Source organism: Homo sapiens, chromosome 17 (assembly GCF_000001405.40).
Source record: "Homo sapiens chromosome 17, GRCh38.p14 Primary Assembly".
NCBI lineage: Eukaryota > Metazoa > Chordata > Mammalia > Primates > Hominidae > Homo > Homo sapiens.
The window spans coordinates 8,964,305-8,979,607 of NC_000017.11; the positions used below are offsets into that span (position 1 = coordinate 8,964,305).

Sequence of the window (15,303 nt, forward strand, 5' to 3'; positions counted from 1 at the left end):
TGCTTGAGCCTGGGAATTTAAGGCTGCAGTGAGCCATGATCACGCCACTGCACTCCAGCCTGAGTGACAGAGCAAGACCCTGTCTCAATAATAATAATAATAATAATTCCACACAGCTCTATGGGTCAGTATGACAGCCCATTTTATGAATCAGGAGACTGAGGCTGGGTTGGGGGACAGTGTGATGCTGCAGGTCACACAGCTGGATCCGGTTGGAACTTGGGTCTCTTTTCCACATCATGCATGGTTCCCAAGCAACGGCTTCAGCATCATCACTTAAGGAGCTCATTCAAAGTTTTGAAAACTACAGATTCCAGATCCCATCCCTGGAAAGCCACGTTGTAGGGTTGGCTCCAAGAGAGCCCTACCTGCAGTCAGCTCTGGGAGCCAGTGCCTTACAGGTGGTCCTGAGGGCAGGAAGGAAAGTGTGGGGTGGATGAGAAGACACAGAAGGAAAACGAGGGTGTCAGTCCAGAGAGGACCTTGGAGGCAGGCTTGGCCTACTTTTAGCCCTTATTCTGCCTAAACCCACCCCTCCTCTCTACTCCGAGTCTTGTTAACTCGCTTTATACCACATCCTGCTGCTTTAACCTCGCCTTCCTTTTCCTTCTGAACAATCTCCTTCCTCCTACTGACCTGAACTTTTTGTGTATTTACCCCAGGCCGGGATGGGCCAGCACGCGCACATGCGCATGCCCACACACACACACACACACACACACACACGAGTCACGCGGGGATGTCCAGTGTGTAAACACAGATCCTCTGAGAGCAGAAAGCGTGCAGTTCTCTAGGACAGCAGCCGCGTCTGGGCCCAAGGCTGGCTAACTAGCAGGCTGAGTGAGGCTCGACGGAGGGCGCCTTACGCGGGCACTTCCATGACTCCCAGGTTCTGACGGCACAAGAGCCCTGATGCCCACGCTCACGGACAGTTCCCCGCTGGAGCGGGCAGGGGACCTGACCCTACGACACAGGGCGTCCTGTGTCAGAGGCAGGAGGCTGAGGACACAGCTGCGCAGAGCCGCCCAGCAGAGGTTACCCGGATAACGATAAGTGGTCCCCGCGACGCCCCTTAAGTCTCTGGGGTTATCTGGAGCGCAGGTTTGCAGACCCGCTGCCCCCGCGGTGGGCCAGGTCCACGGGGCCGGAAGATAGCAGGATCTGTCCAGCCCTCGGGCTGCGGCGGCTGCTCGCGGAGCCCACTCTCCCCGACGGTCCCCAGCTTGCTCCAGCTCTGCCTGGAGCTCCCATGCGTGCCCTCCGCATCCGCCCTGGCCGCCCAGTCACACACCTGCAGTCCCCGCCGGGCGCCGAGCCCCTCTCCAGCGGCGACTCCCTGCGATTCGGGTGACCGTCGGGACCACCGCGCCCCAGCTGGAGCCGCGCGGCGAGCCGCAGCATCTGCCCAGCCTGGGCTCCTCCGGCGGGCGGGGCGGAGCCTGTCAGGGGGCGGGGCCTAATGGGGCGGGGCTGACCGCGGAGCCGGCCTCTCCAGCCACCTGGCGGCCCGGCAGCGTCAGCCAGGTGCGCGCCCGGCCCCACATCCTCTGGGTCACGCCCCCGAGGCCGCAAGGCGTCTGAGAAGCAGCCCCGGCTCTGACCCGCCAGCCCTCGGAAGAAGCAGACCCTGGCCGGTCCATGGCAGTGGCCCGAGGGGCACCAGCGCGGAGCACCAGCGACCCCCAAGGAGTAAGGGGAGGTTAGGCCCCCGCGTCGGAAGCGCGGCTTTGGCCCCGCAGGAGGGCTGGGCGGAGCAGGGGGGCAGGTCTGGGGTAGGGGCTTAGGGGAAAGACGAGAAAGAGGAAGCTCCGACGAGCTGCTTCCTTCTCTCACTGCGACCCACTTCCTCTTCCTACTTCTATTTTCTTTCTTTTTTTTTTTTTTTTTTTTGAGATGGAGTCTCGCTCTGTCGCCAGGCTGGAGTGCAGTGGCACGATCTTGACTCCCCACAACCTCCGCCTCCCGGGTTCAAGCGATTCTCCTGCCTCAGCCTCCCGGGTAGCTGGGACTACAGGCGCGCGCCACCACGCCCAATTTTTTGTATTTTTACTAGAGACGGGGTTTCACCATGTTGGCCAGGATGGTCTCGATCTCTTGACCTCGTGATCCGCCCGCCTCGGCTTCCCAAAGTGCTGGGATTACAGGCGTGAGCCACTGCGCCCGGCCCCTACTTCTATTTTCTTTGGGTGCCCTTAACCCTTAAAATGCCTGCACTACTGCTGTGCAGACGGGCACCTTGACCCGCATCCTTCTGCAGGAACCTTCATAGAAATACCAGCCAGTCCCGGCGTTCAGCACTGCTGTTCCAGCCTCTGGCTGGACTTCCCGCCCTCCCTGGCCGGCACCAAGGCTACTGTCACCTGAGTGGTTTCCCCAGCCCCTGGGGAAGGGAGTGAGGGTGTGCGGGAGTTCCTGCCTCCAGGGTCAAGGCCCTCTTCTTGCCTCCCCCTTTTCTCCCCCAGACGACGTTGCAGATGATGCTCTACCAAGAGTTGGAAGGACTCCCCAGGGAATCCCACAAGACACTGCGCTTCCTATGCCTCCTTTCCCTCGTTTAAAAAATGGGGATAAGAAGGTTGGCTACTGCTCCGACAGCCCTCACAATGGAAGAGTAGCACTTCATTTGTGGGTTAACAAAGGGCAACGCTGAAATCTCCACTTCCACTATTGAATGGAACTGTGTCATAATATCTGTTAGAGGCGTGCAAACTCGGCCACAAGGTCATGGTCATACGTTATTGTTGGTCAAAAGCCGCAGCCCTACCTGAGGCTTTGAGAGATATGAACACCAATGACTTTTCTTTTCCTGACTCCCGAAATACCAAGAAAAAGCAACTTCCCCAAATGGACAGAAACAGAAAGTACCCTTGGTTGAACACAGAGGCCTGGTTCCAGCCATCGTTAGACGTGGGAAGGAACTCAGACCCCCTCTCCTACCTCATCCCCAACCCCTTCCCCACACGTCACCCTTTCACAGAGAAGGAACCAGAGCCACCAAGGGCTGAGAGAGGACTTGATAAGGATTCCAGTCTTCTGTCTCCCCTGTCCCCACTTTTTCCACCACAAAAATATGGACATTTGGAAGAAGAGGAGAAGAGGGAAGGTACACACTGTGCAAAGGAAGAAAATGGCAGAAATGCTCTGGAATCAGGAATTCAGGAGCAAGAATGACACTGTGTGCCAGATGGAAATGTTGGATTAGGAGAGCACTTGGAAAGGCAAATAATCTGCCAGAGAAATTATGGGATGCCTGCCTTCTGAAAATGGAGGAAAACTGCAAAAGAGTGGCTCATTGGTGCTCACTCCTAGGGCTCTGAGCATCCCAAGAAGCCAACTTGGTCCCATCGTACATCCCCTCAGAAGTAGGCATTCTCCTCTCCACCTACAGCTGTGGCCCAGATGTGGAGCCTGCATGTTATGCCACGCCGTCAACACTGAGTTCTGTCTGCGTCTCCCTGTCACAGATCTGATCAGCACCTGACACCTATCCATTCTCCATTTCCCACCTCCCCAAAGCTGCTGGAAAAACTCTGAAAGGTACCTCTGTCACTCATTAAGCATCTGATTATGTACCTCTTTCTACAACTCCTTTGTTGCTTTGTTTTAAAATCTATGGCTCTTTGAAATCACTCTCCTTCCTTTCACTGCCTAATGTTTTCAAAGAGGAGTCTACCCCTGCCTCCACTTCCTCATCTTACATTTATTCCTCAATTCTCTGAACAGAGACCACCAGGGAAACCCCAAATGTCAACTCCAATGGTTTCATTTTCTTACCTCACTACAGCATTTGGCACCACTCCTTCTTGAAAATCCCCTCCTTGGCTTCTCCTCCACCTCTCACCATGATTTCTGTTTTCTTCTTCTGGCTTCATTTCTTCATCATCTCTTAAACATTACAATGCTTGAGATTTCAGATAAGGCTGCTTCTCTTCTCCCTGGGCAATCTCATCCATTCCCATCATACTGATCCCTCCCAAACTATCGCCCAGACTTCTCTCTTGAGCTCCAGATCTGTAATTCCAAGTGTTTTCTGTACACCCATACCTAGATAATCAATCCAAAAGCCTTTTAATTACTCCATGACCTAAAATAAATTCCTCATCTTCTCCCAAACTCCTTCTCCTGCCTTCCCTATCTCAGTTGACATCATTACTATCCACCAGTGGATAGTAAGATTTCTAGTAACTTATAGCCAGAATATATAAAGAACTCCCACAACTCAAAAGTAGTAAAGACAAAGAATCCAATTTAAAAATGGGCAAAAGACTTGAACAGACACTTCAACAAAAAAAAGATATGCGCATGGCCAATAAACACACGAAAAGGTGCTAACATGATGAGTCTTTGGGGAAATGCAAACTTAAACCATGAGTTACCACTTTACAGTCATTAGAATAGCTAAAATTCATACTGAAAACACCAAATGTTGGCAAGGATGTGGAGCAACTGAAACACTCATATATTGCTTGTAGGAGTGTAACACGGCACAACAAGTTTGGGAAACTGATTGGCAGTATCTAATAAAGTTAAATATACATCTACTTGTGACCTAGAAATTCCACTCCTAGGTATATATCCAAGATAAATGAATGTATATATCCCCACAGAAACATATATATGAATGACTGTAGCAACTTTATTTATAATAGCCCCAAACTGGAAACACCCTAAATATCATTAATAGTAGAATGCATTTTTTGTTAAATTGTGGGATATTCGTACACTGGAATGCTACTCAGCAGTAAAAAGGAATAAATGACTGATGCATTTGTCCACATAGGTGAATCTCACAAAAATGATGCTGAGCAAAAGAAGCCAGACACAAAAGAAAATATAGTGCATGATTCCATTTATATGAAGTTCAAGAACCAGCAAACTAACTTATAGTGATAGGAGTCAGAATGATGGTTATCTTGGGGGAAGGGAACAATTTAGCCAGAAAGTGGACATGAGTGAACTTTCTGGGGTGGTGTTTTTATCTTGATGGTGGTTAAATGGTTTCTGCATATGCACAAGTTAGTGAGATCTTCACTTAAAAGTTACATATTCTGCTCTTTGTAAATTATATCCCAGTACATAAAATATGTGAGAAAAGAAAATCCACATTGGTCTTCCTGTCACCCAGTGCAGTGGCATGATCAATGCTCCCTGCAGCCTCAAATTCCTGGGCTCAAGCCATCCTCCTGCCTCAGGCATGCCTAGCTAATTATTATTATTATTATTATTATTATTATTATTATTATTATTATTAATTTGGTAGAAATGGAGTCTTGCTGTGTTGCCCAGGTAGGTCTCAAACTCCTAGGCTTAAACAATACTCCCACCCGGGCCTCCCAAAGTGCTGGGATTACAGGTGCAAGCCACTGTGCCTGGCTGACATTGGGCTTTTATATCTTCATGCCCTTCCTCTCTCTGTCCTCTCTGCTTAAAATACCTCTCTCCACTTATTTATTTGACTGAATGCTTACTGACTATTCATGATAATCAGGAGAACCACCTCAACTTCTATTCCAGAATAAATATAGACTCCCTCCTGGTAAAAATAAACAGAGAGAGAAAAAGTAATGATATGAAAACACAAAAAGATTCAGACTTTCAACAGAACGGAACATGGTCAGAGAAAATTAGTTTCCTTTGAAATGAAATTTCCACAAGAAGAAGAGGAAAAAAAATTAAACATCTTTCTCTTTTATGTTTTTAATAATATTTGGGAGGATATTGTATTTGCAAGTGTAGTGGATTATGTAATTACAAACTGAAATTACAAGGAATCATTAAGAAATTACAAACTGAAATTAGGAAACATTTTTAGCTTGCTAAATTTAAACCTCAATGGAAACAATGAACAGAAGATTGGGAACCGAAGAAAGCTGAATGTGTGACCCAGAACTCAAGCTTGAAAATTTATCCTGGAATTCAGAAGAGAAAAGATGATCTGTGATAGCTAGACTATAGAGGTCTAATATGTGTATAACAGTAATTCCACAAGGAGAGAGAGGAGAAAATAAAATATATGGCAGAAGAAATTTTCTCTGAACTAAAGAAAGATTTGCATCTTCTACTCAATATCTTAACTTTCCTGGTAAGACATGAATTACCAAAAATTGACTTAAGAAGAGATACACTCTGAATAGACCAATAACCATGGAATTGTATAAATTATCAAAGAACATCTCTCTTGAAAGTCTCCATGTCTTGGTAGTTACATAGATGACTTCTATCAAATTTTAAAGGACAGAATTCTACCATGCTTTTAAAAAATACTACCATGAAAAATATAGTATGCTAACCTTTCATGTAAAAAAGAAAGAGAAATAAGAAAATATGCATGTATCTTCTCATTTGTAGAAAAACAAGTATAGGAAGGATCAACCAGAAACTGATGAGATTGGTTACCTACAGTGGATAGGTAGGGATAGTCTGGAAAGAATGGGAGATTGGGGGTAAGGATAGAAGGGATGGGAGAAATGACAATTCTCTGAGTATGCTGTTTGTACAGTTCTTACTTTGAGGACCATGATAATGCTACATATATCCTCATCTCACCCTAAAGTAGTAAGTTTACATCAATCAGGATGTGATGGGAACCCAAAACTGAATATGAACAGTAACAAATGAACCTATTACAAATGAATGATATAATCATACTGAGGAAGGAGAAGACAAAAGGAACTAACCAAGTAACATAGAAAACCATATTTTGACTACATACTATAAGTATGTGCCCTGTCCAAATCTCATACTGAAATGTAATCCCCAGTGCTGGAGGTGGGGCCTGTTGGAAGGTGATTGGATCATGGGGGCAGATTTCTCATGAATGGTTTTTCACCATCCCTCTTGGTACTGTCCTCTTGAGAGTGAGTTCTCATGAGATCTGGTCATTTAAAAGTGTGTAGTACTGGGCAGGCGCAGTGGCTCATGCCTGTAATCCCAGCACTTTGGGAGGCCAAGGCAGGCGGATCATGAGGTCAGGAGATTGAGACCATCTTGGCCAACATGGTGAAATTCCGTCTCAACTAAAAATACAAAAATTAGCTAGGTGTGGTGGTACATGCCTGTAATCCCAGCTACTTGGGAGGCTGAGGCAGGAGAATCGCTTGAACCAGGGAGTCAGAGGTGGCAATGAGCCAAGATCGCACCACTGCACTCCAGCCTGGCGACAGAGTGAGACTCCATCTAAAAAAAAAAAAAATTGTGTAGTACCTCCCACCTTGGTCTCTCTTGCTCCTTCTCTGGCCATGTGACATGCAAGCCCCAACTTTGCATTCCACCGCAATTGTGAGCTTCCAGAGGCCTCCCCAGAAGCAGAAGCCACTACGCTTCCTGCACAGCCTGCAAAACCATGAGCCGATTAAACCTCTTTTCTTTATAAAAATTACCCAGTCTCAGGTGTTTCTCTATAGCTATGTGAGAACAGACTAATACAAAAGCTAAAGATGAAAAAAAAAAAAAAACAAAAAAAAACACAACTTGTACCACATTGTGTTGGTATTACTGCTTAAGGGGTCTGTTTTCTGATGAGCAAATCTATATCTCACAGGTATATGGGTTAGAAATTCTGAAACTCTTTTATATATATATGTGAAGATTGAACAAATAAGTAAATATATTGTGAATAATGAGAGCCAAGTTTTTCGGTGTTGAGGAAGGAAGTTACAAACAAGGAAAGGTGGAAGGCTAGAATGAATGTGGTGGTGTTAGATGAGAATTGGAGGTATCAGTATATACTCATGGTTTTTAATAGTTAGATACATAGATAAATATATAGATAAAGAGATATAGATGTATGTATATTTCCCAGCTCTGATGATGGAGCCTAGAGGTAATGATATCCCACTAGGGATGAGCACACCTAGCTTCCAGATCTTGGTTTCTAAATATCATCCTTCAATAAAAGGAACCAGAGCTCCTTGGAGGAATGTCTGATTGAAGGGCCATGACAGGGAAAGAACAAGATGAATCTAGAACATCTTGTGGTACTAGAAAATAATAAAGTGCTCAAAAAATGATTAATGTTTGTCAAAAGAATGCAATAACCAACTTGAAGGGGCTCCCAGTGACCAAATCCAGAACAAGCTGAGTAACACAATAACGATAGTTATGGGTTATAGCTTATAGAATAAAATAAGTAGCCAAGAGTCCATAATGACATAAAAAAATTGGATAAATACATGGGGGAGAATTGACAACCCTTTCTTACAGTGGAATGCCAGTGAATACATGTAGAAGGAAGATGGAAGCAGAAAAATCACCATTTGGTAAACATCACAGTAATAATTTTTGCAGGCGAGGATCATCAATGGGTTGGGCACAGTGGCTCACGCCTGTAATCCCAGCACTTTGTGAGGCCAAGGCAGGTGGATCACCTGAGGTCAGGAGTTCGAGACCAGCCTGCCCAACATGGTGAAACCCCGTCTCTACTAAAAATACAAAAATTAGCCAGGTGTGGTGGCGCGTGCCTGTAATCCCAGCTACTTGGGAGACTGAGGCAGGAGAATCTCTTGAACCTGGGAAGCAGAGGTTGCAGTGAGCCAACCATGCCATTGCACTCCAGCCTGGGTGACAGAACAAGACTCTGTTTCAAAAAAAAAAAAAATCATCAATGGATGCTAAATGCAGTGAGCAAAAATATGATGATAAATGGTGCTGTGGTCTGAATGTGTCCCCCCACCTATTCACACATTGAAGCCTAACCCCCAAGGTGATGGTATTAGAAGGTGTGGCATTTGGGGAGGTGATTAGGTCTAGGTGATGAGGGTGGAGCCCTCATGATTAGAATTAGTGCTCCAAAAAAAGAAGCCTAAGGGGCCAGGTGTGGTGGCTTATGCCTGTAATCCCAGCACTTTGGGAGGCTGAGGCAGGTGGATCATGAAGTCAGGAGATGGAGACCATCCTGGCCAACATGGTGAAACCCCGTCCCTACTAAAATACAAAAAATTAGCCGGGTATCGTGGCACGTGCCTGTAGTCCCAGCTACTCGGGAAGCTGAGGCAGGGGAATTGCTTGAACTTGGGAGGCGGAGGTTGCAGTGAGCCAAGATCACGCTGCTGCACTCCAGCCTGGGCGACAGAGCAAGACTCCATCTCAAAAAAAAAAAAAAAAGCCTAAGGGAACTGCCCCTTACCGTGTGTTGCACCACGTGAGGACACAGTCAGAAGGTGCTGCCTGTGAGGAAGGGCCCTTGTCAGACATCAAATCTGCCAGTAACTTGATCTTGGACTTCCCAGCTTCCAGAACTGTGAGACATAAATGTTTGTTGTTTATAAGCCACCCAGTGTATGATTTTTTGTTTATAGCAGCCTGATCAGACTAAGACAAATGAGACATTTGCTTAAAGTAGCACCCAACAAGGTATTTTTGTTTTTCAGACAGATTCTTGCTCTGTCGCCCAGGCTGGAGTGCAGTGGCACGATCTCGACTCACGGCAACGTCTGCCTCCCTGGTTCAAGTGATTCTCCTGCCTCAGCCTCCCGAGTAGCTGGGACTACAGGCTTGTGCCACCATACCCGGCTAATTTTTGTATTTTTAGTAGAGACGAGATTTCACCATGTTGGCTAGGCTGATCTCAAACTCCTGGCCTCAAGTGATCTGCCCACCTCGGCCTCCCAAAGTGCTGGGATTACAGGCATGAGCCACCATGCACAGCAAGATACTTTCTAGTTACAAAGGGAAAATAGAAACCTTACAGCAAAGAAGCCAGACGGACACCCCCTTAACCAAGTGAACAAAGTTAACATTATCATAAGGAGACACAGCAATAACATTCATCTCGTGATTTGATGCTGAGACAGGCACATCATTTCTGTGGTATTCTTGCCAAAAATGTCTTACATCAATCTCATCAGAGAAAACATCAGGGCTTGGTGTTGGTTGCTCACACCTGTAATGCCAGCATGTTGGGAAGCTAAGGTGGGAGAATTGCTTGAGACCAGGATTTCAAGACCAGCCTGGGCAACATAGCAAGACCCATTTCTACCAAAAAATAAATATGTATATTAGCTGGGTGCAGTGGCATGGGCCTGTAGTCCCAACTACTAAGCATGCTGAGGTGGGAAGATCGCTTGAGTCCAGGAGGTTGAGGTTGCAGTGCAGTCTAGCCTAGGTGACAGAGCCTAGATGACAACCTGTCTCTAAAAAGAAAAGAAAGAAAAAGGAAAACATCAGACTCACTCAAATTGAGGGACATTCTACAAAATCTTCAACAGTGTCAAGCTCAGGAAACAAAGGCTAAAGGGCTGTCACAGATTGTCACACAACACTTAAATGCAATGAGGGATTTGAACTTGGATCCTGGGCCAGAAACAGTACATTTAGTTGTACTATCGGCAAAATTTGAATAAGGTCTGTAGACTAGTTAATAGTTTTGTATCAGTGTTAATTTTTTGATTTCAAGAATCAGACTATGTTATATACAACGCTAATATTTAGGGAAGCTGGGTCAAAGGTCTATGGGGACTCTTACGTTTGCACCTTTGTTTGTAAATCCAAAATTATTTCAAAATACAAACTTAAAAAAGCAAAACTTGAAAGTTGCAAATCTTACAAACTTTGGAAAAACTTCCCATTTTGTTTTCACCTGATACTAAAACACAAAAAGAAAACTACAGGTGAATTCTTCTCTATGATACAGATATAAAATCTGAAATAGAATAAGTGCAAGTTTGGCTGGGCGCGGTGGCTCATGCCTGTAATCCTAGCACTTTGGGAGGCCGAGGCGGGTGGATTGCCTGAGGTCAGGAGTTCAAGACTAGCCTGGCCAACATGGCGAAACCCCATCTCTACTAAAAATACAAAAATTAGCCGGATGTAGTGGCAGGCGCCTATAATCTCAGCTACTTGGAAGGCTGAGGCAGGAAAATCACTTGAACCCGGGGGGGTGGAGGTTGCAGTGACCCGAGATCGTGCCACTTCACTCCAGCCTGAGTGAAAGAGCAAAACTCCATCTCAAAAATAAATAAATAAATAAATAAATAAATAAATAAATAAATAAATAAAATAATTTTTAAAAGTAAATGCAAGTTATATCCAGCCTTTAATTAAAATAGCAATATACTGTGACAAAGTAGGGTTTGTTCAAGGAATGCCAACATCCTGGATGAGCCCAAAGGAATGCAGACTGGACTGGTCGCCCACAAGAATCCACTGTGAACATTGACCTGGTTAAAAGTCAGGGGCCTGCACGGAGGCGTTTATGGGTGGGCCCTGGGGTGTGAGATGGGGAGTGACCTCTAGTGGAAATTCCAGCATGTCACCATAGGAGATGGGTAGAGTCTGACTGATGCGTCCCCATTGCAAAATTTAGATTGGATGTTTGGGGAGGAGCTGAAGGAGATAGGGCCAACCTGCACCCACATCTCTCCCAAGCCAGTCCCTTGCTGTTGCTACCAATGGGAGTGTGATCTCTATCCCAGGTCCCCCTCACAGGTTGAACTTTATGGAGAAAAAGCTTCAGGAAGAAGCAAAAAGACCTTTTCATTAAGGGCCGAGAAACCAAGTGAAAGGGGCAAGAACATGCCATGGCTCTGGCCCCTGTAGGCCTGTGGAAAAGCATTGCTTTGAAATCACTAAGCCTTGTACCTTGGGGAACACAAGGAGACTGACCCCAGCACAGTCACCACTGTAAGACAGACCTGGGGAACCACAGGGATAACTGAGGAGGCTTTGAAGGAAGCTGGAGGACCTGGAGCAGGGATCAGAAATTCAAACACCCCCAAGGGCCAGGCAGGTCAAACTCAGCGATAGAAGGGGTGAGATGGTGTTCACTTAATATATTCTGACATTCCATAACAGCATTGTTTATACTCTGTGCCTTCTGAAATAAACCCTGTTAAAAGGTCAGTCCTTTTCTCCCCCCAGTGCAACAAGGTCCTCTTTCCCAACACAGCTTTTCCATAGTCTTAGATTTTATTTCTGGTAGCCCCTTATGTCTTATTCTTTCAGCAGACACATTTTGCATATTAAACATATAGCAATATTCTTTACTTCTACCTAGAAATATGCTTTCCCCCTTTTCTCTTAGAAGCACCTGGCCCTCTTGGCCTCTTTCATTTTTTTCTACATTTACTGGACATGATTACAAACAATATTTCATTATTTTTAAAAATTGCACAAATGCAAAAATTGGCAACTGAACCTTGACTCTGATGTGTGGGAAACAATAGGGTATGGTGACAATACGGTATGATGGGATGCTAATGAGGTAAATGAAGAGACCACTAAAAGGAGCCCCTGGGGCTCAGCTCCAACCCACGGTGGCCATGTGGAAATGCAGGATTGGTGTGGCTAGATCTTATGATTTTAAAAGAGAAACTGGAAATTGGAATTCATAAGAGAAATCTTCTGATTTTTAAATGTTAGCAACTAATTCAAAACAGTATTCTAAAATGTCTTACAGGCCAAACTACACATGACCTACTGGCTTTCAGTTTGTGACATCTGTTTTCTATTACACAGGTGGGAGCATGCACCAGTGAAACCTGAGTTCTTTCTGTTCACATGAGGTAATCTTCCCACTGGCTGGAAGACACTTCATTTATACAAACAGCGATTACTGTAAAAGTGTATTCATGTTGTTCATCACATGAATAGGACATGGGAGAAAAACTATATAATTATCCTGAGAAAATGCCCCCTAATGCAAATTCTCTGTGGTTAGGAATAAAAGGAGACTTTGTCAACATGATAAATGATATCTATCTCAATCCAGCAGACAATGTGATAGCTAATGATGACTTGGAATGAAGGGACAGATACGGTCCTTAATAACAGAAGAATTCCTATAAAACAAGGGTGCCCACAACTTGAATAGTTTCAACAATATTGTGAAATTCAAAGCAAAAAGATAAGAGAGTCAGAAATTTGGGAAGCAAAAGTCAAGTTCATCATTATTTGTAAGTGATATGATTGTCTACCTGAGAAACCTTAGATAAGGGACTGAGAAATGTCTAGAACTAATAAGAGAGTTCAACAAAGTAGCTGGAGACACAAAAAGATGAAATTCAATAATTTTCTACATACCACCAATGACCAGATAGAAAATGAGCTCATTCATCCCAGTAAATAGTGCTGAGACAACTGAATATCCATATGCAAAATTGTAAAATTGGGTCCCTAGGACATAGCACATACAAAAATTAACTCAAAAATGCATCAAAGACCTAAAGCTCACAGCTGAAACTATAAAACTCATAGAAGAAAACATAAGTGTAAATCTTCATGTCCTTGGATTAGTAAATAGTTTCTTAGATATGACATCAAAAGCCCAAGAAACAAAAGAAGAAAAATAAAGTGGGTATCATCAGTCGGGCGCAGTGGCTTACGTCTGTAATCCCAGCACTTTGGGAGGCTGAGGCGGGTGGATCACGTGAGGTCAGGAGTTTGAGACTAGCTTGGCCAACATGTGAAACCTCATCTCTATTAAAAATACAAAAATTAGTCAGGTGTAGTGACACACGCACGCCTGTAGTCCCAATTACTCGGGAGGCTAAGGCAGGAGAATCGCTTGAGCCTGAGAGGCAGAGATTGCAGTGAGCCAACATCGCGCCACTGCACTCCAGCCTGGGCGACAGAGCGAGAGTCCATCTAAAAATAAAATAAAATAAAAAATAAATAAAGTGGACACCATGAAAAGTAAAATTTTGTTCTTCAAGGACACCACCAAGAAACTGAAAAGATTGCCCACAAAATAGTAGAAAAATACTGCAAATCATATATATGATAAGGGATCTGAATCTAGAATATGTAAAGAACTACTATAACTCAATGATAAAAAGGCAAATACCTAATTAAAAAATGAGCAAAGGATCTGAATTGACACTTCTCCAAACAAAATATAGAAATAGCCAACAAGCATGTGCAAAAATGCTCAACATCATCAGAGAAATGCGAGTCAAAACCACCATGAAATACCATACACTATCAAAAAAAAAAAAAAACAGATAATAACAAGTGTTGACAAGGATGTTGGGAATTTGGAACTCTCATACCTATTTCCTTGTGGGAATGTAAAATGGCACAATCACTTTGGACAATACTCTGTCAATTTCTTGAAAAGGTTAAACATACTGTTACCATATGACCCAGCAATTCTCTTAGGTATATACCCAAGATAAATGAGAACATATGTCCACACAAAAACTTGTACATGAATGTTTATAGCAGCATTATTCATAACAGCCCAAAACTGAAAAAACACACATGTCCTTCAACTGATTAATGGATAAATACAATGTATATCCATGCAATGGGATATTACTTGGTTGTAAAGAGAAATGAAGTACTGATACATACAGCAATGTGAATGAACCTTAAAAATAGTATGCTAAGTGGGCCGGGTGCGGTGGCTCATGCCTGTAATCCCAGCACTTTGGGAGGCTGAGGCAGGTGGATCATGAGGTCAGGAGATCAAGACCATCCTGGCTAACACGGTGAAATCCCGTCTCTACTAAAAATACAAAAAATTAGCCGGGCGTGGTGGTGGGCGCCTGTGGTCCCAGCTACTCGGGAGGCTGAGGCAGGAGAATGGAGTGAACCCAGGAGGTGGAGCTTGCAGTGAGCTGAGATCGCACCAGTGCACTCCAGCCTGGGCAACAGAGTGAGACTCCATCTCAAAAAAAAAAAAAAAAAACTATGCTAAGTGAAAGAAGCCAATTACAAAGAACCACATATTATATGATTTTATTTATATGAAATGTTCAGGCCAGGCGCGGTGGTTCACACCTGTAATTCCAGCACTTTGGGAGACCGAGGTGGGTGGATCATGAGGTCAGGAGTTCGAGACCAGCCTGATCAACGTGGTGAACCCCATCTCTACTGAAAATACAACAAAGAAAATTAGGCATGGTGGCGCATGCCCGTAATCCCAGCTACTCAGGAGGCTGAGGCAGGAGAATTGCTTGAACCTGGGAGGCAGAGGTTGCAGTGAGCCGAGATCACGCCACTGCACTCCAGCCTGGGCAACAGAGCAAGACTCTGTCTCAAAAAAAAAAACAAAAAAAAAACAAACAAAAAAAAAAGCAAAAGCAAAAGAAATGTTCAGAGTAGGCAATACCATAGAAACAGAGAGTAGATTAGTGTTGCCAAAGACTGGGGTGGTAGGGAGAAAATGGGGAGTGAATGCTAATGGGGATGGGATTTATGTGGGGGAAATAAAATATTCAAAAGTTGACTGTGATGATGGTTGCATGACTAAACATACTAAAATCCATTGAACTGTGCACTTTAAATGGGTGAATTACAGGGTATGTGAATTATATCTCAATAACATTGTTATTAAAAATTTATCAATTGTACTATGGGACACAA

The 15,303-nt window shown here is 44.4% G+C and overlaps 1 protein-coding gene and 1 long non-coding RNA gene across 16 annotated transcripts in view, besides 3 other annotated features; one reads left to right on the plus strand and one right to left on the minus strand.

Moving 5' to 3' along the window:
• The window catches only part of PIK3R5 (phosphoinositide-3-kinase regulatory subunit 5), an 86,792-nt gene extending 85,389 nt beyond the window's left edge, over positions 1–1,403 (minus strand). For all 12 annotated transcript variants that reach the window (NM_001251852.2, NM_001388397.1, NM_001251855.2 and 9 more), the window contains exon 1: positions 1,292–1,403. The gene's annotated coding sequence lies outside the window, so the exon portion shown is untranslated. The remainder of the gene's footprint in view (positions 1–1,291) is intronic.
• Positions 1,327–1,646: a silencer, noted in NCBI's record as "silent region_8191". NCBI's record gives its function as "represses an Ori minimal core promoter by ATAC-STARR-seq in GM12878 lymphoblastoid cells {active_cell/tissue: GM12878}" and the evidence as "EXISTENCE:reporter gene assay evidence [ECO:0000049][PMID:35858748]".
• Positions 1,543–12,682, plus strand: PIK3R5-DT (PIK3R5 divergent transcript). Of its 4 annotated transcripts, none has more exons than NR_184080.1 (3): positions 1,543–1,699; positions 2,463–3,537; positions 12,454–12,682. It is a non-coding gene; the product is annotated as a PIK3R5 divergent transcript (long non-coding RNA). The 4 variants fall into 4 exon arrangements; NR_184079.1 differs by having other exon boundaries at positions 1,543–1,689; NR_184078.1 differs by lacking the exon at positions 12,454–12,682 and having other exon boundaries at positions 2,463–4,113.
• Positions 1,717–1,816: a silencer, noted in NCBI's record as "silent region_8192". NCBI's record gives its function as "represses an Ori minimal core promoter by ATAC-STARR-seq in GM12878 lymphoblastoid cells {active_cell/tissue: GM12878}" and the evidence as "EXISTENCE:reporter gene assay evidence [ECO:0000049][PMID:35858748]".
• Positions 12,364–12,443: an enhancer, noted in NCBI's record as "active region_11719". NCBI's record gives its function as "activates an Ori minimal core promoter by ATAC-STARR-seq in GM12878 lymphoblastoid cells {active_cell/tissue: GM12878}" and the evidence as "EXISTENCE:reporter gene assay evidence [ECO:0000049][PMID:35858748]".
• Positions 12,683–15,303: the final 2,621 nt, after the last annotated feature.